The sequence below is a fragment of the Homo sapiens genome, chromosome 17 (assembly GCF_000001405.40).
Source record: "Homo sapiens chromosome 17, GRCh38.p14 Primary Assembly".
NCBI classification, from domain to species: Eukaryota; Metazoa; Chordata; class Mammalia; order Primates; family Hominidae; genus Homo; species Homo sapiens.
Genome location: NC_000017.11, coordinates 2,401,485 through 2,423,548, shown reverse-complemented (window position 1 = coordinate 2,423,548; position 22,064 = coordinate 2,401,485). Strand labels below are relative to the sequence as shown.

Genomic DNA, 22,064 nt, shown 5'->3' with positions numbered 1-22,064 from the left:
ACACACCGGCTTAATACGCTTCTTCCCCAGCTTAATACGCTTATTGTAAGCTCCTTACTGCAAAGCGTTAGGCTCTCAGTAGACTAGAAATTATGTTTCTCATGCAGGATGATTGAGTAATAACAATATGACTGTCTTAATGTCAATATGAATTTGTCTCATCTTGTCTGAAACATAATTGAACAAGTTCAGGTTCAGACAGGTCTTAGAGTCCACTATTCATTTCTCAAGAGCAGGTTCTTCAAACACACACACACACACACACACACACACACACACACACACACCCTTTGTTTTTTATCCTTCCCTAACAGTTTCCTAGTATAGAATAAACTGGTTAGGTTGTTGTGTATGTATGCAGTGTGAGGCCGCTGGTTAGTTCTTATTAGAAGACGTCCCCCAGTAATCAGAACCTGTGGTGTCTGCATGTGTGCGTGTGCGCTGTCAGTGTGGCCAGGTACGACTGGAATGATCAGTAGCAGTCGTCAGATTCCTTTTAGCAGAAAAAGATCTTCAAACCTGACTTGGTGTTTTTTCTTTTTTATCCTTTTTGTTGTTGTTGTTTTTGAGACACAGTCTCCTTCTGTCTCCAGGCTGGAGTGCAGTGGCGCAATCTCATCTCACTGCAACCTGCACCTCCTGGGTTCAAGTGATTCTCCTGCCTCAGCCTCCCGAGTAGCTGGAATTACAGGCGCGGCCACCACACCCGGCTAATTTTTGTATTTTTACTAGAGATGGGGTTTCACCATGTTGGCCAGGCTGGTCTCAAACTCCTGAGCTCAATCCATCCGGCCGCCTCGGCCTCCGAAAGTGCTGGGATTACAGGCATAAGCCACCACACCCAGCCTAAAGTTTCTACTTTAAAGAAAGAAATTCTCAGGCTGGACACGGTGGCTCACACTTGTAATCCCAGCACTTTGAGAGGCCGAGGTGGGTGGATCACGAGGTCAAGAGATCGAGACCATCCTGGCCAACATGGTGAAACCCCGTCTCTACTAAAAATACAAAAATTGGCTGGGCTTGGTGACGTAGTCCCAGGTACTTGGGAGGCTGAGGCAGGAGAATCGCTTGAAACCGGAGGTGGAGGTTGCAGTGAGCCGAGATGGCGCCATTGCACTCCAGTGACAGAGTGAGATTCCATCTCAAAAATAAATAAATGAATAAATAAATTTTCAATACAGTGGTGGCATTGGTTTTGTTTTTTTTTTTTTCTAAAACGGAGTTTCACTCTTGTTGCCCAGGCCCAGACTGGAGTGCAGTGGCACAATCTCGGCTCACTGCAACCTTTGGCTCACTGCAACCTTTGGCTCCTGGGTTCAAGCAATTCTTCTGCCTCAGCCTCCCGAGTAGCTGGGATTATAGGTGCGTGCCCCCATGCCCAGCTAATTTTTGTATTTTTGGTAGAGACGGGGTTTCACCATGTGGGCCAGGATGGTCTTGAACTCCTGACCTCAAGTGATCTGCCTGCTTCGGCCTCCCAGAGTGCTAGGATTACAAGCATGAGCCACCGCGCCCGGCAGGTGCCATTGGTTTTTAAAGTGGAACTTGAGTCCCTCTAGTGGGTAGGGTATAATTCACCTTCCCAGCTTGAGATAGAATGGAAGATGCCAGTCGTGATTTTCTTGGAACCAGCTTTGAAATCCAGTCTTCTCATCAGCGCCGGTGTCACCCTCCCCAGCTAAAAGGCAGTGCTTAGCTCGCCGCCGGCTTGGTCCCGACATCAGCCACGATTCAGGAGTCCTCCTCCTCTGCCCACGTGATCTTAGTGGCCCTGATCCTTCCTCGCATGTCATCTCATGGCTGTGGTTCACCGGCTGCTTTATCTCAAGCCTCAGCCAATATAAACTCAAACTACAAGTTGATGATGTTTCTGCCCTGCAGTTCTTTCCAGCCAAGAACACAGTGCCCCCAGGGTCCTCGAGTTGTCATGAAATAAATAATTGTGCAGGTCTGCTTTGGGTACCACAGGTACACGAAGGACGTTTAGCAGTTGGAGGAGTTACATCTGATAGCCAGAACAAAGGCAGTGCGGTGCGGCTGGAAAGAACGTGGGTTCGGCGTTCAGTCCTAACTGCAGTTACTGTGTGACCTTGAGCTGTGTGACATAGCCTTTCTGTATCTTCGTTTTCCTGGAGATGCCTAAACTATCTTGTGGGGTTCTTATTTTTTTAATTAAAAATTTTTTTTTTCTTAAGAGACAGGGTCTCACCCCGTTTCCTGGGCTAGATTGCGGTGGCGCAATCAGAGCTCCCTGCAGCCTGGAAGTCTTGGGCTCAAATGATCCTCCCTCCTCTGCTTTCAGAGTAGCCGGGACCACAGGCATACACCATTGTGGCTGACTAGTTTTAAACGTTTTTTTAGAGATGGAGGTCTTACTATGTTGCTGGGGCTGATCTCAAACTCCTGGGCTCAAGTGATGCTCCTGCCATGGCCCCCCAAAGTGCTGGGATTATAGGCGTGAATGACTGCACCTTGCAGGGTTGTTTTAAGTGCTGGACATAACACACACAAAACCCTTTGTGTTTTCAGTGCTCTATGATTGGTAGCAGAAGTTGTGGAAATTTTCTCTGAGTTCATTACAATGCATGAGGTTTAATTATTCGGATAACTTTCTTCTCTTTTCTATGCTTCCTTTTTCTTGCAGTCACCACCAAGTAAGCGAAGAAAATTAGAGAAACCGAGAAAACCCATAACATTCGTGGTGCTGGCGTCCGTGATGAAGGAATTATCCCTCAAAGCATCACCTCTGCGCTCGGAGACGGCGGAAGGCATAGTCGTTGTCACGACATGGATTGAAAAAATTCTCACTGATTTGAAGGTACCTGCTTAACCATATTGACGAAGTACTCATAATGATCCTTCTCTTTTTTCTTTTTTCTTTTTTTTTTTATTGAGAGTTTGGAGAGAGGGGAAACGTGATTTCCCACAAAATTCTGTTTTTCCTCCAAACAGGTCCAGCATAAACGAGTTCCCTGTGGAAAAGAGGAAGTCAGCCTTTTCCTAACGGCCATAGAAAACTCCTGGATTCATTTAAGGAGAAAGAAAAGAGAGCGTGTGAGACAGCTGAGAGAAGTTCCCCGAGCTCCTGAGGACGTCATTCAGGCCTTGGAAGAGAAAAAGCCCACCCCCAAAGAGTCTGGCAATAGCCAAGAACTGGCCAGGGGCCCCCAGGAGAGGACCCCCTGTGGGCCTGCTCTGCGGGAAGGCGAGGCTGCCGCTGTGGAGGGCCCGTGCCCGAGCCAGGAGTCCCTGTCCCAGGAGGAAAACCCGGAACCCACGGAGGATGAAAGGAGTGAGGAAAAGGGAGGGGTGGAGGTTTTGGAAAGTTGTCAAGGCTCTAGCAACGGAGCCCAGGACCAAGAGGCTTCTGAGCAGTTCGGCAGCCCAGTGGCTGAAAGGGGGAAACGTCTCCCAGGAGTGGCCGGACAGTACCTGTTTAAGTGTTTGATAAACGTTAAGAAGGAGGTGGACGATGCCTTAGTGGAGATGCACTGGGTTGAGGGCCAGAACAGGGATCTGATGAACCAGCTTTGCACCTACATACGTAACCAAATTTTCAGGCTTGTTGCAGTTAACTAGAAACCTCCTGCACAGTTGGAAACGTGTTGATAGTAACTTGCTTTGGAGTGGCCTGTGGGGTGGCAAGAGGAATCCTACCAGCGGCCCATTAGTAGCACGATGTGGAATTATCTTCGAAAACAAAAACCTATGAATCTGTCCCCCACCTCCCCCCGCCTCCTTCCCGCTTTTTGAGTTACAGGGAGTCGTAGTGTGGTCATTTACAAGGAGGAATTGTGGTCATCAGTAACAACAGAAAGCCCTCAGTAAACTCCCGAGGGATTGCAAGCTGGCTCAAGCTGGCCCCTCAGCTCTGGACTGCCTCTGCAAGGTCAGAAGGGTTGTTTGTGGAGTCTGGGCTGGGCAGCACTGCCTAGAATATCATGCTGTCTCTGTCACCCAAGGGTGTTTCTTGAGGAGGGGTGGCTCTCTCTGCCTCCAGCTGGAGGCCCTGGTACCCTGTTCTAGGTCACTCTTCAAGATGGGGCCTACCTTGCATCAATCCCACAAAGGGAGCTGTATGGTGGGTGGTGGGGAATCTGGGAGAGAAACCTTAGTAATGCTGGGAAGGAGCAGCAGAGTCTGGGGACCACCCGGTAAATGGCACATTCCTGACACCTGGCTGTTTTGATGTTGCTTATTTCAGAAGCAGAATTAGGTAAGCAAAACTCCCCGGTGTGACTGAGGCACACAGAAGGCACCCATACCCCCACCTCCAGCCTGTTGACAGTACCATTTTGTAGCAGTTTTACTACTGTGTGATTTTTGTTTGGACATCTGAAGTAGAGCTTGTTTTGTTTTTAAATAAGAATATTCACAAATTAAAAACCAGCGGTCCTATTTGAATCCTGGGGTTAGCTGAGTGAGCGGCTGATGATAGAAATGAGAAATAGAACAAAATAGTATGTGCCGTAGGTAGCTTAAGAAAGTCTCAGATATTTTGTTGCTGATCAAATACTGTTTTTTTGTGGCTTCACTTGTAATCCCCCCTGTACTTACCTACTCACATTGGAGAGTTCTGAGGCCGGAGTAACTGTGTCCTTGAAACACGTTTCTAATTGGAATGCCAGGGTTCAGTAGCCGTCCCCCCGGAAAGGGGTGACCTTTTGCTGTGCTTGATGTTGCATCAGCAGCCTAGGGTTCTGTTTAGACTAAAATCTTGGCCAGAGCTCCTTGCCATCTGCTAAGAAGACTGGGGCTGAGTAGTTAAGCCAGCCTTCTGAGAGGTGGCTGTTGGTCAGGACGGGAAGCTGGTGACCTTGGCATGTCTTGGCAGCAGCTAGATCAGGCCCTCGGCAGAGACACAGGAAGCGGAACTGCTGTGCCTTAACTTGGCTGTGGAGCTGGAGCTGGAGAAGGCAGCATACTGACCAGTGGCTTTTTGATTGATTGTTTGTTATGAGGTGGAGTTTTACTCTTGTTGTCTAGGCTGGAGTGCCGTGGTGCGATCTTAGCTCACTGCAACCCCCGCCTCCCGGGTTCAAGCGATTCTCCTGCCTCAGCCTCCCAAGTAGCTGGGATTACAGGCACGCGCCACCACGCCTGGCTAATTTTGTGTTTTTGGTAGAGATGGGATTTCACCATGTTGGCCAGGCTAATCTCGAACTCATGATCTCGGGTGATCCGCCCACCTTGGCCTCCCAAAGTGCTGGGATTACAGCCGTGAGCCACTACTCCCAGCCTCTGACCAGTGTTCTTAACCTGGTCCGTGGACCTCCAGAGAGTCCATGTACCTCCTAGAGTTACTTCTAAAAGCTCTGTGAGCATGTGTGTGTGTGTGTGTGTGTGTGTGTATTTTTTTTCCTGGAGAGAGGGTTCCCAGAACCCTCAGACACAGACAAAGGGGTCAATAACCCACTAAGGATTAAGAATCATTATTCTAGTCCAAGCATTCATGTGTCAGGCTGCAAAAAACAATACCCAGGGTCACACAGAGCCAAGACTCAATTCAGGACCGTGGATTCCCCTGGTCTAGAAATTTTCTGCTGTGCCAGCCCACACCACCCCACTGTCCTTACCTCGAGTGAATATTACATTTGAGTCATTTGCTGGGCCCAAACCTAGTTTCCTTGGTATAATTTTAGGATAATTGTTTAAGTGGCAACTATTCATTCAGTAAGTAGTAAGTACTTATTGTTTGCTTGTTTCATTATGAAAGAGTGGCACATGCTCATTAAAGATTTGGAAAAATGAAAGTCAAAACAACAAAATCACCCCGAGTCCCAACCTTCTGTAACATAACCACTCTTGGCATTGGCGTGTTCCTTTCTAGTCTCTCTGTAGACGGGGTGTGTGAGTGTGTGGGTTTAACTTTGGTTGTCCTCATGCTGCGTATTCAGTTTTGTATTCTGGTCCTTTGTTCATTTAACATCTTACAAGTATTTGTCCATGTTGTAACAGTAGTGTATTAGCTTACACTCCTTGCCTGTTCAAAATGTCTTTCAGGCACAGCACTGGCCTTTAAGCCTGTGTCGTAGGGATTTCCAGAGAATGCTCTGTGTATTGAAGCACAGAAGGTGTTTCTGTGTCTCAGTGTGTTTCTGTCCCTAGGTTTAAGGCTTCATGTCATGGAGGAGATTTTATAGATGTCAAGCTAATGACCTTAGAGTTTTAAAAAATCCGTGACCGTGGCCAGGCGCAGTGGCTCACGCCTGTAATCCCAGCACTGTGAGGCTGAGATGGGCGCATCGCATGAGGTCGGGAGTTTGAGACCAGCCTGGCCAACATGGCGAAACCCCGTCTCTACTCAAAATACAAAAATTAGCCGGGCATGATAGCACGTGCCTGTAATCCCAGCTACTCGGGAGGCTGAGGCAGGAGACTCGCTTGAACCTGGGAGGTGGAGGTTGCAGTGAGCCGAGAATGCCACTGCACTACAGCCTGGGCGACAAAGTGGGACTGTCTCAAAAAAAAAAAAAAAAAAAAAAAAAAAGGAACCCATGAGCAGGCCAGCTTTCAGTCTGGAGCCGAGTGCCTTCTGTGCATTTGGATGTTTCCATTTCCTTCCCTGAGAAGATTTTCTTAGGCTACCTAGTGAGAGAACATTGAAAATATTTTTAAAGGACATCTAAGCATTGTTTTGGTCATGCATATGCTTTATAATTGTGTGTTGTTTCATAGCATATACCTCTGGTACAGGTGGGCAAGTTTTTCTTTGAAGAAATGGGTTATTGACTCATATGTCATAACCTTGAGTGTTACTCTCCCGGTGTCCAGAGGTCACATTCATGTTGCGGGGTTGGTATGAAATTAAATCTTGGTGATGTGACCCTACATTCTCTTCTGGTCCCTAGAATCGGCTTCTGGTCTCCTGATAACTGAAGTGGAGACAGAAGTTGAGCCTGTTGCCCAGGCAAACTAAAGCTGCTTTTGTTCTTCGGAATCTGCTTTGCCTCCGTCAGCCTGCTTCCTTCCCCACACATGCTGGCCGCACTGTCCCCACTCCAGACCTCTGCTGTGTGTCCTGGGCAGGGCCGCGTTTTGGCAGTACCCTTTCAACTCATCCTAAGCTTCGTGTAGATTACTTTAGTATATATTTTTTATAAAACATAAAGCCTTTCCTCTCGATGGAAATCAAAGCTTACCATGTGAGCACTCGAACTTCTAAGTTGTGACAGGAATAACAAAACTGCAAGGAGTGGAAAAGATGGAAAAGCCTGTGGGAAATCCGAGGCCTTTTGAAAGAAGGGAGCTGATGACTTCACGACCAGCTCCTGGAGCCCCTCCTTTCTGCTGAAGCCGCGGCATTTCCCTCCGTGGCCACACGAGGGCACCCTTGGCCCTTTTATCAAAGCGCCTTCACTTCCCCGTGGGAATGGAGACAAGTCTGTCCACGGTGTTTTCTTGAAATACCCAGTTGCTACCCAGATTTGTATTTTTATGTAAACAAATACATTTTCACAGAAATAAAATTTGAAAAATAAAAGTAGAAAGAGAAAAAAACACTAGCCATGGTCTCTTTACCTGGTATAATCCCTTTCGACTTTTTAATGTTTTTTTAATGGTCCCAGCTGACTGTTTTTTCTGTTCTTTCCAGCTGTCCTTCTACTCTAGAATATATCCAGGTTGGGCCAGTCCTTTGGATCCAGTTTTTCTTGATATCTAGTTAATGAAGATACTGGAGGGGAAATGCTGAGTGATCTTCAAACAGTAACTTTCCAAAAGCCAGGAGTAATACCAAGATCTCCAAGAAAGCAGCTGGGTTCAGAAGGCCGGGTGCGGTGGCTCACGCCTGTCATCCCAGCACTTTGGGAGGCAGAGGCAGGCAGATCACAAGGTCAGGAGTTCAAGACCAGCCTGACCAACATGGTGAAACCCTGTTTCTACTAAAAATACAAAAATGAGCTGGGCGTGGTGGTGCATGCCTGTAATCCCAGCTACTCAGGAGGCTGAGGTAGGAGAATCGCTTGAACCCGGGAGGCAGAGGTTGCAGTGAGCCAAGATCGTGCCACTGCACTCCAGCCCAGGCAACAGAGTAAGACTCAGTCTCAAAAAAAAAAAAAAAAAAAAAAAAAAAAAGCAGCTGGGTTCAGTGTTCTGTTGTTGACCCTTGTTTGGGGTTCCTCTGGTTGGCTGGCTACCATGCATGTCGTGTGTTGCTTATATCAGAAGGTGAGGGTTCTGTGTGGTGTAGATGCTGTCGGTTAGCCGGCCTTGCTTCTCACAAGGGGCGTTTCTGGGGAGAACGCTGGGGTCTGTGTGGGCTCAAGGAGGATCCCGTCTCCCCTTATGTTTCTGGTACAGGATCAGATGTGGCCGCCCAGCAGTTGTGCACATAGGAGGAGAAGGGGCCAGGTGGGAAAAGTAAGTCAAGAGCCCTCTGGAAGAAGGAGCATTTCAAAGGTGCAGCAGGTTTATGGCGATAGAGGGGGTCCCCTCAGGAAAGGGTCACGGCCTTTTTAGGGAAGTTGGTGCACAGGAGACTTGGTTTGCTGAATGGGCACTAACCTCGGTAAAACCCAGAAGAGGCTGAATAGAATGAACTGACTCCTGCCTCCTGCGGGCAGCACTGATGTGTCGAACCTCTCTAGTAATCCCGAGTACGCGGCTCTCGGTATGAGTGCCAGCGCAGTATCAGAGGCCCGGACGGCGCCTGCCCCACTGATGATGGGCATCACACGTGCCCCGGCGTTCCTGCTCTGTTCTGTGACATTCACATGCTCTGCTGTGGCTCAGCCAAATGACTAAAACAGCGGTTGGTGTTTTAAATTCCTGGTTGGAGCAGCTAATGCTGCCTGGTGGAGGCTGTGCTTTGTACTCCACGGACTGTGTTGTGACTACAGAACGCCCTTGCCCCTCGAGGTGCCCTTTGAGATGTAGCCTGTCTGCCGGTCTCAATCCAAGCAGAAGCGTGGGTTTCCTTAGGGAAGAGGAAGATTGTGGGTGCTTCCCTCACAGGGGAACTGAAAGGAGAAGGGGTAGAGGAAAAGTACAGTCGGACTTGGCAGAACTGGCTCGCAAATGGTGCTCTGAGAGGGCCAGGCAGGTGTAAACCCAAGACTCTTTTCCACCCACCCTAGGGGAGCAAGAGGCAGGAAAGAGCACAGACTTCGACGTTCAGACCTGGGTTCCCGTCCAGTTCCATTCCTTGCACAGGGTAAGTCCGTTTACTAAGCCTTGTCTTCCTCGTGCCACAGATGAGGAATTGTCGCTTCACATTTAGAGCAGTGCTTAAGTGCAAGAAGGACTGAAATCTCAGCAGAGGGTGGAAACACTTGCTCCTCTTCCGATTCTTTGAATTGTCCATTTCCATTCAGAAAACCTTCTACCAGTAGACTCAGATGAAAAGGCTGAGACCTCACGTGTATGTCTGTAGGTGTAAAGTACCACCGTTGACAAAGAGCAAAACCCATACTTGATGTGATGGAGGGAGGACTGGGGGCCAATATTGATGGTCCACCTTCCACACACACTGTCTCATTTAGTAACCCCGTCAGCCTGTGTGACGTTCCTAGGTGGTGGCTGAAGGAAAGGGAAGCTCAGAGAGTGTCAGTGACTTGCTGTAAGGTTATCCACGGAGCTCAGTCATAGAAATGGGATTCGAACTCAGGTCCAAGAAGCCAAGACTGGGATCTTGTGCCGGAACTCAAAAGTCTATAGCAAGTGCCGCACTTCATGTGGAAATGTACTTCCAGGCTCGTCTGACCCACCTCTAGGGAGGGGGCTGCAGTGATACAACACGGGGAAGGAAAAAAGCATCTTTCACCCTCACAGTTTAGCACTTCAAGGTAATATTATTTTCCAGCCTATGATGAACGAGTGACATGTAGTCAGTGGAATTACTTAGAATTCTTCATTTATGCTACCAAATCTTCACGGAACTTTGTATTTGGCAGTAGTGCAGATAATTAAGTAGTTAGTGAAAGCGCAAAATAAAATATCTAGTGAAAGTACATGTTGGGGCCAGATGCAGTGGCTCACGCCTGTAATCCCAGCACTTTGGGAGGCCGAGGCGGGTGGATCACCTGAGGTCAGGAGTTTGAGACCAGCCTGGCCAACATGGTGAAACCCGTCTCTACTAAAAATACAAAAATTAGCCGGGCGTGGTGGCTCACACCTGTAATCCCAGCTACTCGGGAGGCTGAGGCAGGAGAATCGCTTGAACCCGGGTGGCGGAGGTTGCAGTGAGCCGAGATCGCGCCACTGTGCTCCAGCCTGGGGGACAGAATGAGAAAAAAAAATTATGCTACCAAATCTTCACAGAACTTTGTATTTGGCAGTAGTGCAGGTAATTATGTAGTTAGTGAAAGCGCAAAATAAAATGTCTAGTTAAAGTACATGTTGGACCAGAATCAATAGGAAATAACTGATTATTAGGTGAATTATTCTTTGGCAATACATAATTGTATAATGAAAGAGAGGTTTAATTATTTTTTTAAAATAAGGCAGCTCCAGATATTTCACTTACAGAACAACACAAAACTGATGTGCTTTTTGAGCTTCCTGGAGAAGGTAGCAATTGCCAGAAAAACAGCCAGGCCTCCTCCCCGGGCAGGGTGTGTGAACTAGTATCAGTCTGGGAAGAGGAAAGGCTGCCTGCCATCTGGTGGACCCATTCAGGGAATGTGGCCCCAGAATCTAAAAACCAGAGCCAGGAAGTTCCCAGCTGGGGCACTTGGCTGGCTCGAGGAGCCAGTCAGGCCCCAGGGAAATGGCAGCTTGTGCTGCTGCTGTCCAGAGAGAGAATGAGAATGTGGCCCAGAGGGCACTGCTGAGCAGGCCCCCTCCTGGGACACTGGTGAGCAGGGGCCTGTGCCCAGAGACTGGCCATTTGGAAACTGTGTCTCCTGCTGGGAAAAGGGGAGTCCCTGTCTGGTCTGACACAGGATCCTTACTTCACACATATTTGTCCCAGATTCCTGCCTTCAAGGCCAAATGTGGGCTTGTTTGTTTTGAGACAGAATTTCACTCTTGTTGCCCAGGCTGGAGTGCAAAGGCGTGATCTCAGCTCACTGCAACCTCTGCCGGGGTTCAAGCGATTCTCCTGCCTCAGTCTCCCCAAGTAGCTGGGACTACAGGCACCTGCCACAATGCCTGGCTAATTTTTTGTATTTTTAGTAGAAGACGGGGTTTCACCATGTTGCCCAGGCTGGTCTTGAACTCCCAACCTCAGGTTATCCACCTGCCTCGGCCTCCCAGAGTGCTGGGATTCCAGGCGTGAGCCACCGCACACGGCTGCCCAGATGTGGGTTTATTTGGGGGCTTTATGGAGCAAACTCTGGCCATATTCAGTGAGAGCTCTGGACTAGCAAAGATGAGGACTTCTTCGTTCTCAAAGGAAACATCTCAGCCAGGTGCAGCGGCTCAGCCTGGAATCCCAGCACTTCTGGAGGCCGAGGAGGGCGGATCACCTGAGGTCAGGAGTTCGAGACCAGCCTGGCCAACATGGCAAAACCCCGTCTCTACTAAAAATACAAAAATTAGCTGGGTGTGGTGGCGCATGCCTGTAATCCCAGCTACTTGGAAGGCCGAGGCAGGAGAATCGCTTGAACCCGGGAGGCGGAGGTTGCAGTGAGCCAAGATAGCACCACTGCACTCCAGCCTAGGTGACACAGCGAGACTCTGTCTCAAAATAATAATAATAAATCTAAAAATAAAAATATAGTGGAGTGGCTTGTGTTCAGCTCCCCCTGGTTATTGCTGTGCTGAAATAGGTGCCCAGTGTTGCTGGATCTTCTGATGTTTTGAGGGAAGCCAGAAATCCAGATTTATGAGAAATTTGCTTAATTGTGAACCCTGACAATTAATTATTTTATTAAAAATGTAAACCAGCTGGGCATGGTGGCGCAAGCCTATAATCCTAGCACCTTTGGGAGGCTGAGGTTGGTGGACTGCTTGAGGCCAGGAGTTCGAGACCAGCCTGGGCAACATGGCAAAACCCCATCTCTATGAAAAATACAAAACATTAGCTGGGTGTGATGGTGCGCACTTGTAGTTCCAGCTACTTGGGGGAGCTGAGGCGGGAGGATTGCTTGAGCCCAGAGAGGTCAAGGCTAGAGTGAGCCGAGATCGTACTGCTACATTCCAACCCGGGTAACAAAGTAAGACCTTGTCTCAAATAAAAAAAAGAAAAAAACAATTTGCGGTAAACCGTTTGTCAGTGACCACTTCTGCCACCAGGAGTAGAACTGCCTGTGTCTTCCTGCCTCCACGACCCTCTCACTGGAGCTACTGGTCGGCTTGCTGCCTGTTTCCCTGTTTTAGGGTCCTTCCCACCTCTTAAGGGAGGAGTCCGAAGGAGTCTACCCATGGGCCTGCTTGCTCTTTCTCCCACTGCTGGCTGACCTCATCCACGCCAGTTTCTTCAACCACTCCTCATACATTCATTGTGCCCAGATCCAGACCCATCCTGAACTTCCAGCATCCTCATTCCTCACCCGCCGGCCCATGGCCGTGTGAAACTCCTCTGATTGTCTGCACCTGCTTCTCCTGTTGCCTTGCTCACCATCCACCCAGCTCTCCAGAGGACAAATCTCTGTTCTTCCCCCTCCTTTCCCACCAGGTGTAAAGTCTTCCACTAAATCCCACCAATTCCACCTTAGAAACCTCTCCCCAGTCCAGCCCGATAGAGCTCTGTAATGGCCTCAGCGAGTTCCGGGGAGCTTCAGAGTAAAGAAGTAGAAAGAGTAGATTTAGGTATTTTGGGCAGAGAACAAGATGAAATCTGCTTTGTTTGGGGAGTGAACTGGAAGCTTTCAAAAGAAAGAGTAGAATGGGAAATAGATCCCACAGGCAGGGGAGTTGGTTGAGATCAAGAGATGCGAGATCCCAAAAAATGGGAGGCCCTTTCTGATACAGGACAGGCCAGCATTTTCCCCCTTTGATAATTTCCAGGTTTTGTTGTTGTTGTTGTGTTGTTTTGAGACGGGGTCTCGCTCTGTCGCCAGGCTGGAGTGCAATGGCACTATTTCGGCTCACCGCAACCTCTGTCTTCCAGGTTCAAGCGATTCTCCTGCCTCAGCCTCCCAAGTAGCTAGGACTACAGGCGCACGCCACCACACCCAGCTAATTTTTGAATTTTTGGTAGAGTCGGGGTTTTACCATGTTGGGCAGGATGGTCTCGATCTCCTGACCTCGTGATCCGCCCACCTCGGCCTCCCAAAGTGTTGGGATTACAGGCGTGAGCCACTGTGCCCAGCCAGGTTTTTTTAATTCTTAGTCCGACAATTTTATTTTATTTTATTTTATTTTATTTATTTATTTTTGAGACGAGTCTTGCTCTGTCGCACAGGCTGGAGTGCAGTGGCGCGATCTTGGCTCACTGCAAGCCCCGCCTCCCAGGTTCACGCCATTCTCCTGCCTCAGCCTCCCGAGTAGCTGGGACTACAGGCGCCCGCCACCACACCCGACTAATTTTTTGTATTTTTAGTAGAGACAGGGTTTCACCGTGTTAGCCAGGATGGTCTCGATCTCCTGACCTCATGATCCACCCTCCTCGGCCTCCCAAAGTGCTGGGATTACAGGCGTGAGCTACCGTGCCCGGCAATTTTATTTTTAAAAAGCAGGACAGGCCGGATGCAGTGGCTCATGCCTGTAATCCCAGCACTTTGGGAGGCTGAGGCGGGCGGATCGCCTGAGGTTGGGAGTTTGAGACCAGCCTGACCAACATGGAGAAACCCCATCTCTACTAAAAATACAATATTAGCCGGGCATGGTGCGTCATGCCTGTAATCTCAGCCAACTTGGGAGGCTGAGGCAGGAGACTCGCCTGAACCAAGAGGCAGAGGCTACGGTGAGCCGAGATCACGCCATTGCACTCCAGCCTGGGCAACAAGAGTGAAACTCCGTCTCAAAAAAAAAAAAAGCAGTACATTTTCATTATAAAAAATTTAGAAATGCTGGGCACTGTGGCTCACACCTTTAATCTTAGCACTTTGGGAGGCTGAGGTGGATGGATCGCTTGACCTCAGGAGTTCAAGACCAGCCTGGGTAACATGGCGAAATACCATCTCTACAAAAAATAAAAAAATTAGTCGGGTGTGGTGGTGCACGCCTGTAGTCCCAGATACTCAGGAGGCTGAGGTAGGAGGATCACTTGAGCCAGGGAGGTCAAGGCTGCAGTGAGCTGTGAGCACACCACTGCACTCCAGCCTGGGCGACAGAGTGAGACCCTGTCTGAGAAAAATTTTAGAAAATATTGAATAACACTAGAATTCTACTATTCAAATCAAATTATTTTACATTTTGTTGTCTATTTTATATGCATATTTTTTACATAGAAATTATGGATCATATGGTATCTTAGTGTTTTATAATCTTTTTCATTTAGTAATATAACTTTTTTCTTATTATAAAGTTAACATGTTTCAGAAAACTTGTACAAATAAAAATTAGTGGTAACCACACTGCCCAGCGACAAGCCCTGCTAATAGTAGCAACCCTGTTTTCCTCACATGCTGTCAGTATTGTGAGCATTGCTTCAGCTAGCCGTTACTAGTCGGAAATTTGGATTTTCTGGTTTTCACTTTCCTTTTTCTTTTCTTTTTTTTTTTTTTTTTTTTTTTTTTTTTTTTTTTTTTTTTTGAGACAGAGTCTCGCTCTGTCGCCCGGGCTGGAGTGCAGTGGCGCGATCTCGGCTCACTGCAAGCTCCGCCTCCCGGGTTCACGCCATTCTCCTGCCTCAGCCTCCCGAGTAGCTGGGACTACAGGCGCCCGCCACCACGCCCGACTAATTTTTTGTATTTTGTTTAGTAGAGACGGGGTTTCACCGTGTTAGCCAGGATGGTCTCGATCTCCTGACCTCGTGATCCGCCCGCCTCGGCCTCCCAAAGTGCTGGGATTACAGGTGTGAGCCACTGCGCTTGGCCCCATTGTGATTTTTTTTTCCCTGAGATGGAGTCTCGCTCTGTCGCCCAGGATGGAGTGCAGTGGTGTGATCTCGGCTCACTGCAACCTCCGCCTCCTGGGTTCAAGTGATTCTCCTGCCTCAGCCTCCTGAGTAGCTGGGAGTACAGGTGCATGCCACCACGCCCGGCTAATTTTTGTATTTTTAGTAGCGACGGGGTTTCACCGTGTTAGCCAGGATGGTCTCGATCTCCTGACCTCGTGATCCGCCCACCTCGGCCTCCCAAAGTGCTGGGATTACAAGCGTGAGCCACTGTGCCCGGCCTTTTTTTTTTTTTTTTTTTTTTTTTTTTTTTTTTTTGAGGCAGAGTCTTGCTCTTTCTCCCCATACCCCCCAGCCCCGCCCCAGGCTGGAGTGCGGTGGTGCAATCTCGGCTCACTGCAACCTCCGCCTCCCGGGTTCAAGCAATTCTCGTGCCTCTGCCTCCAGAGTAGCTGGGATTACACGCATGTACCACCACACCCGGGTACTTTTTTGTATTTTTAGTAGACACAGGGGTTTCACCATGTTGCCCAGGCTGGTCTCGAACTCCCAACCTCACGTGATCCGCCCGCCTCGGCCTCCCAGAGTGCTAGGATTACAGGCATGAGCCACTGTGCCCGGCCCCTTTTTCTTTTCTTTAGTGATGATTTTGTTTTATTTTTATAGCTTTTAGAGGTAATCAAATCTATCACACTGTGCTTTTATATTTTCTTTGTTTGCCTTTATGGGTAGAAACTCCTTCACCACCCTAGAGCTGAAAAATGTTTTCCTATATTTTATTATGGCTATTTTAGTTTTATTTTTTACATTTAGCATTTGAATTTACATTGCTGTATGGTGTGAAGTTTAAGGACCTGTCTTTTACCAGTGGTTCAGCATTATTTCAGACTAACTCATCAGAGAGGGCGCTGGGAAGCTCTAGCACTCCCCACTGAGGTGTCCCTGATGGCACAGGGAGTGGAGCAGGCTGGGCAGCAGTGGTGTGTCCTTTCCCAGTGGGCCCTGGGGCCTTGGGGAGAGATCTCATAGTGCACCTGGAGCTGAGCCCTGGCTCTGTGGTATCTGCTCTGGGCTGTGCAGCCAGTGACCGGCCACTGCTCTCGGCCTTGCCTCCAGAGAGAGCCTCATTCCTGGCATAGGCTGCTGATCTCTTGGGCTTTCAAGACTTGATGCTACAGCCTTGCATTTGGGTGTGAACTGGGGCTGCTGGGATATAGACCTTAGTCCTTTGTGTGGGGCACTGATCACATTGCAGCCCGTCGGTCCTGGGAGGTTTCTTCCCTATCACCATGTCCCCACCCCTGCGTGATCCAGCGGACTCTTGACTCCCATGGCAAGACTCCACCCGGCTTTACTCATAACTTCTGCCCAGTCCCACTCCCTTGACCTGAATTAGTTTTGCTGTCATAAAGCCACCTCTTTTTTCCTTTAAAGGAATCCCTGACATCGTCATCCGTCTCCTGTGCCTTTCCGCTGGGTCAGCCTCCTCCCACCAAGCTTCTGACCCACTGTCATCCGCAGCTGCCACTCTAGCTGCAGAGCTCGACTGGGCTCTGGTTTCTCAGAAGAGCTCAGAGGACCTGGCTCCTCCCTCTTTGCTTCTGAACTGCATTTCTTTCCTTATTACTCAGTGTCCACACCCACGGTGGCTGCCTGGATAAAAATCTGCCCCTTTCTCCCGTCACCTTTCATGCCAGACAAAAGCCCCAGTGAGTAATGGTGACCTACCCAGGTCCAGCTAGCAGCTCTCCATTCCTGAGTGGCCTGGGGCAGAACAGGGTCCTGCGAGCTCCTGGATCCCAAGTCTGATTCCCTTTCCCTGTCTTCCCGCTTATCTGCTAAGCTTGTTTATTGGGGACCACTAAGCAAAGTGAATGATTATTCCTGTCTTTAACGAGGAGGGGTGGAGTTCCCTCTCCATCTTCACCCACTTCTGGGAGGCTTTCAGGGACTCAACACCCCACACTGATAGCACTTCCCCAGGCCTGGCCCAGCCAGCCAAAGAGGAGGACCAGGCCACTTCTCAACCTAGCTGATGCTTGGCAGCTTTGTGACCTTGGATACACCTTCTCTTGGGAGGTCAGACCCCATGATCCCAGCTCTTCCAGCTATGACATCATGTGAGGCTGCAATTTTTTTTTTTTTTTTTTTGAGACAGTATCTTGCTATGTTGCCCAGGCTGGCCTTGAAATCCTGGGCTCAGGCGATTCTCCTGTCTCAGCCTCCCACGTAGCTGGAACTTAGGGCGTGAGCCACCGCGCCCAGCTTCTGGAAAGGACATGAATGGGGAGGTGGAACTTGATTGGACCTGTTCTGTGAGTTCAGGAGAGGTCCTCTGACAACTCACTTGGGGTGGGGAAAGGAGGTAAAGAGTCCTGTGGAAACTTTTGGCTGTGGGGACCCCATTTCACTGATGATTGAATGGGTCCACCTCTGTCAAAGGAATTCAGAGTCCCACTCATCATTCAGACTGGGGGAATCAGGCTCAGTTGACTGGCCCAGCCTTAAATCCACTGAATTTGTTTTTATCTCTACATAGAAAAACGGAATTACAGTTGCTTCTCACTGTCCAATGGGGATTGGTTCCTGGAGCCTCCCTGAATACCTGTCCATGGATGATGCTCAAATCCCTTACATGTAACCTATGCACATCCTCAGGTATCCTTTAACTCATCTCTGCGCTACTCAAATACCTCATACCATGTAAATGCTGTGTAAATAGTTCTTGTGCTGTGTTGGTTTTTAAATTTGTATTATTTTTTCTTGTATATTTTCCATTTTTTTTTCCTGAATATTTTTGATCCACGGTTAGTTGCCTCCATGGGTGCGGACCCACGGACACGGAGGCTGCACCTTCTGAAATGAGCATGGCGGCGCCCTCTGGGTCCTCGTGTCGTCCTGTCTCTGGTGCTGCATCCAGCACGGTGGCGAACAGCAGAACTAATCTTTTGCAAGTTATCACAGTGGAGTGGAGTTCCGCTCTGTTTGCTTTTGCCCCGCTCTGGCTTACCAGAGGTCCCCTGGCCTTGGCCACAGCATACCTAGCCTAGTGCTTGGCACCTCAGGCACACAATAAATATTTATGAAATGGATCTTCTCTGGTATGTCTTGAGTGTACTAGTCTTCTGTTTTTTCCTCTTCATCCTGCAGCCAGCTTCCTCCCATGGGTCTTGTTTTAATGATGGTATGTGAAAAGCTCCTTAGCTGCTTGCAAAAGATGAGACATCAGGCTTGAAGGGTTGGGATTTCCTGTGAACATCTGTACTTTCGGCTTCACGCCCTTTCCCCCATCTCATGACTCAGGCTTTGTAGGAGTCAGGGCACTGATTTTCATAGCTCTTGGAGTTGATACTTTGTTAGGTGAGTGGTGGGGGATAGGAAGACAGTTCCACTAAGGGGATGTCTCTGGCTCAGCATATTAAAAAATTGGGGAATTGGTGCTTCTTATTGTGGTTGGTGAAAAAAAGAATAAAAGATTAAAAAATTGGAGGACATAATGGAATTTGAACTGGGAGGTGGGGTGCACAAGACTCGGGGAGGAAGACTGAAAACGGAAACCCTCTCGTGAGAAACTCACAATGATGGACAGCCCAGCTTTTCTCCTGCTCCAAGGTACTAAGCACCCAGAAGCCATGAAGAAACTTAAGGAACAGCCGGGCGCGGTGGCTCACGCCTGTCATCCCAGCCCTTTGGGAGGCCAAGACAGGCAGATCACTTGAGGTCAGGAGTTTGAGACCAGCCTGGCCAACATGGTGAAACCCCGTCTCTACTAAAAATACAAAAATTAGCCGGGCGTGGTGGTGCGTGCTTGTAATCCCAGCTACTCCGGAGGCTGAGGCAGGAGAATCACTTGAACCTGGGAGGCAGAAGTTGCAGTGAGCCAAGATCACACCACTGCACTCCAGCCTGGGCAACAGAGGGAGACTCTATCTCAAAAAAGAAAAAAAGAAAAAGAAACTTAAGGAACACCTTTTTAGAGATTGCTGGCCTTTGGATAATTCCCCAAACCTGCTAACCTTTCTGCTGAAACCAAAAGGACTTATTTCTCTTTCTCTTGAGTGAGTACATTTGCCAGCTTCTATCCTGGCTCCACCCCCTTGGAACAGGAAGCTGGGGCTAAAATATTAAACAGCCCTCCTATTCATTCCCCTCTTCTTTCATGCCCTCACATCGCCATTTATAGGTATCTCCCACCCCCACTGTCCATTCCTCAACTGGGGAAAGCTTGGTTGATGAGGTATTGTTTTTGGCCATTTTCAGGCTCCTGTAGGCAACAATAGGTCCAGAAACAGCCTCCCCCACCCTTTTTTTTTTTTTTTTTTTTTTTTTTTGGAGACGGAGTCTCTCTCTGTGGCCCAGGCTGGAGTGCAGTGGTGTCATCTCAGCTCACTGCAACCTCCACCTCCCGGGTTCAAGTGACTCTCCTGCCTTAACCACCCCCAGTAGCTGGGATTACAGGCGCCTGCCACCACGCCCAGCTAATTTTCTTTTTTCTTCCTTTTTTTTTTTTTTTTTTTAGTAGAGACAGGGTTTCACCACACCACGTTGGCCAGGATTGTCTCGAACTCCGGACCTCAAGTGATCCATGCACCTCGGCCTCCCAAAGTGCTGGGATTACAGGCGTGAGCCACCGCTCCTGGCCTGCAGCCTCCCTTCTAAACCCTTGTTTTTGTCTAACATCCCCTGGCTGCTGTCCCCACATGACCCAAATAAACAGATGATCATGTGAAGCCAGTAAGGCTGTTTGTTTTAAATAGCAAACATCTCCACTAAGCTCTGGAGCAGATGGAGTATTGGGGGCAATGGAGAGGCTGGCATTCAAATCTGTGTTCACTCTACTCTTACCTTCTGCTTCCTCACCCCTGAAGCGAACAGTGTCTTAAGAACACTGCCTTTCAGAGAGGTGCCTACTTACTGGTATAGAGTTGGCCAGTGACAAAGAAGAGTGTAAAAAATTAAACCTCAGCCTTCAGCAGAAACTCCAGGGCTGTATGAGTGCATGGCCACCTGAGGAGAGCAGGAAGGGACAGCTGGATGGAGCACTGTGCACCACGGTGCTGACCCCACACAAAATAAGAACTTGCCCAAAAGCATTAACTCAGGTCACAATCATGTATAGATGCAGCTCCACTTAGGACGGGTTTCACCAGCCATAATCCCATCCTAAATTGAGCGCATGCTAGATTATCACTTTTACAACCATTGCAAACTTGGAAAGTCCTGTGTCAAACCATCACAAGTCAGGGACTGTCTGTATACTGTTGAGAGTCCCTGTTCCACTGCCGCCTATATATTATATTGCCTTTGAATTTTCCATTTTCTCTAGTTGTGCAGAATGGGCCAGGCCCAACCATACTGGTGGCAAGTGGCAGACACCTTAAAGGAAGCAATGTTGGAGCCAGCACAGATCTGGCCCTCCCAGCAAAGGGGCACTCATCCCATGGAGAAGAACTGGGCTGTTCCGTTCTAATCCGCCTTTGCTCCAGCTTCATCATAAGCAAAATCAGTGGTACCTACCTGGACATTTGTGTGTGTGGCGACTTCTGCATGCTCAGCTCTAGATGCTGGGGCATTAAATGTGAAAAGATCAGAGGCCTCTGTAGACTAGTACTGGCAAACAGCCCCCTTCCTCTGGTTCACGAAGTTCTTGATTTCCAGGATCTGTGCAGATTTTTCCCCCCTAGGATGCATGACGATGCCCTCAAAGGAAAGGAGTAAAGCCAGCAAACATTTTGCCTGCTTTCTATGTTTCTAGCTGTCTTCCAACCAGTCCCTAAAATAGGAACGCTCCGAGGGTGCCATGTGATGGAATGTATTGGCAGGGCGGCCTGCCTCTCAGCCTCATGAAGGTTTGCTTTCTGGTTGTGTGTGATGTTGAAGCCGCGGCTGAGGAGTTCTAAACCCACTGGCACTGACTGCCCCCCCACTTCTTGGACCGGTTAGCAAAGAATGGAGCCTGGGGCCAGAACTGAGGGGTACTCCCCCTGCACTGGCACAGCACAATCGACATGCTCCGGGACGCTCCAAATAAGCTTTCAGCCGCCTGGGGTCTATCGCTGCCGCTGTACCAGTGGGGTTCGTGTGGCTTCCACCGAGGAAGCAGAACAGCGGAGTTGGGTCTCAGGTGAAGATTTTTGTTGCCCCAATCACAGTGTGTTAAGTGGTCAGGGTTGCTATTCCTCCCTGGCATTTTTCTAATTGGGGGCCCTCCTCCAGAACTGGCTTCAGAGTCGTCCCTGGGGTCAGGGAAGAGTGCCCCCGCTTCGGGAGAGAGGAGCAGGTGGAATACGGAACGACCTTAGGCGAGTCCTTGGCCGTCACGGCCTCAGTTTCCTTATGTGTGAAGTGAGAGGATTTAAGGGCAGCCGGCCTCAAAGAGCTAACTCTCCGATTGCACCCGAGCTCCCCTAAACACTCGAGCCCGGAAGACGCGGGCGGGCGGGCGGGCGACGGGGGGTCCCTCCCTCTGGGGAGCGCGGTTCCAGCCGGCCGCAGCGGACCCCGCCCCCGCGCCCCGCCCACCGCCGGTCGCCAGGCGCGGGGAGGGCCGGGCTTCCGCCCTCCACGTTGTTGTTCCCGATTTGGGCCACGCCCCCCGGTCTGGGCTGCGGGCGCTTCGTGTTCCCCGCCCTGGCCCCGGCCCCAGAGGAAAGGGTGGCCCATGGGGTGGCACAGTCCGTATCTCCACCCACATCGAATACGCGTGGACAAAGACTGGAGTTCAGGGGAAGGAAAGATAAAGGCCTGGTTTTAAATGGAAGGTGGTGAAAAGGAATGGAGAGGCCAGGGCACGACTGCGGGATTCCCCTTACGGCATCCCACCCTGGGTTCGCCCAGTGGCCCCATCCGCACCCGCGAATGTGACCTGCAGACACTGGCCCTTTAAACCGAAGGCTGGCGGCGCGGGGTGTCCATGTGGAGCTGCTCCATGCCGTGTTGTCCTGCCCGCCCATTGGCTCGCGGCCCGGTGACGTCCCCTAATAGGATGCGAACGCACTGCGGGGGGAGGAACGGAGACAAAACGCGGAGCCGGACTGCCGCTCCGCTCCCTCCGCTGGTTCTCTTGACAGTCTCCAGTCGCCGGCAGCTCCGCCCAGGGGCGGATCCCGGGGGAATTGCGACAGCCCGGCGATTGCGGGATTTAGGTCGCGAGTGGGTGGAGCGTGGAGACCCAGGGTCA

At 49.7% G+C, this 22,064-nt stretch overlaps 1 protein-coding gene and 1 long non-coding RNA gene across 6 annotated transcripts in view, besides 5 other annotated features; both read left to right on the top strand.

Annotated features, from left to right (window-relative positions):
- Positions 1-7,834, top strand: part of METTL16 (methyltransferase 16, RNA N6-adenosine) — a 96,174-nt gene extending 88,340 nt beyond the window's left edge. For 4 of the 5 annotated variants that reach the window (XM_047436697.1, NM_024086.4, XM_047436698.1 and 1 more), the window contains 2 exons: positions 2,645-2,818; positions 2,953-7,500. In XM_047436697.1, the coding sequence (XP_047292653.1) occupies positions 2,645-2,818; positions 2,953-3,579 (801 nt within the window). In that variant the 3' untranslated portion in view covers positions 3,580-7,500. Of the gene's footprint in view, positions 1-2,644; positions 2,819-2,952; positions 7,501-7,594 lie in introns of those variants that run through there. The other variant, XR_007065448.1, reaches the window with a different exon arrangement.
- A 278-nt stretch (positions 7,835-8,112) lies between these two features.
- LOC284009 (uncharacterized) lies at positions 8,113-16,568 on the top strand. Its single transcript, NR_028335.1, has 3 exons — positions 8,113-8,361; positions 9,078-9,154; positions 16,319-16,568. It is a non-coding gene; the product is annotated as an uncharacterized LOC284009 (long non-coding RNA).
- Positions 20,382-20,951: an enhancer, noted in NCBI's record as "H3K4me1 hESC enhancer chr17:2305892-2306461 (GRCh37/hg19 assembly coordinates)". NCBI's record gives its function as "activates a minimal SCP1, AML or CMV promoter by ChIP-STARR-seq in naive H9 embryonic stem cells {active_cell/tissue: H9 hESC(naive)}" and the evidence as "EXISTENCE:reporter gene assay evidence [ECO:0000049][PMID:30033119]".
- Positions 20,952-21,522: an enhancer, noted in NCBI's record as "H3K27ac-H3K4me1 hESC enhancer chr17:2305321-2305891 (GRCh37/hg19 assembly coordinates)". NCBI's record gives its function as "activates a minimal SCP1, AML or CMV promoter by ChIP-STARR-seq in naive H9 embryonic stem cells {active_cell/tissue: H9 hESC(naive)}" and the evidence as "EXISTENCE:reporter gene assay evidence [ECO:0000049][PMID:30033119]".
- Positions 20,952-21,563: a biological region, named in NCBI's record as "H3K27ac-H3K4me1 hESC enhancer GRCh37_chr17:2305321-2305891".
- Positions 21,244-21,563: a silencer, noted in NCBI's record as "silent region_8003". NCBI's record gives its function as "represses an Ori minimal core promoter by ATAC-STARR-seq in GM12878 lymphoblastoid cells {active_cell/tissue: GM12878}" and the evidence as "EXISTENCE:reporter gene assay evidence [ECO:0000049][PMID:35858748]".
- Positions 21,894-21,943: an enhancer, noted in NCBI's record as "active region_11493". NCBI's record gives its function as "activates an Ori minimal core promoter by ATAC-STARR-seq in GM12878 lymphoblastoid cells {active_cell/tissue: GM12878}" and the evidence as "EXISTENCE:reporter gene assay evidence [ECO:0000049][PMID:35858748]".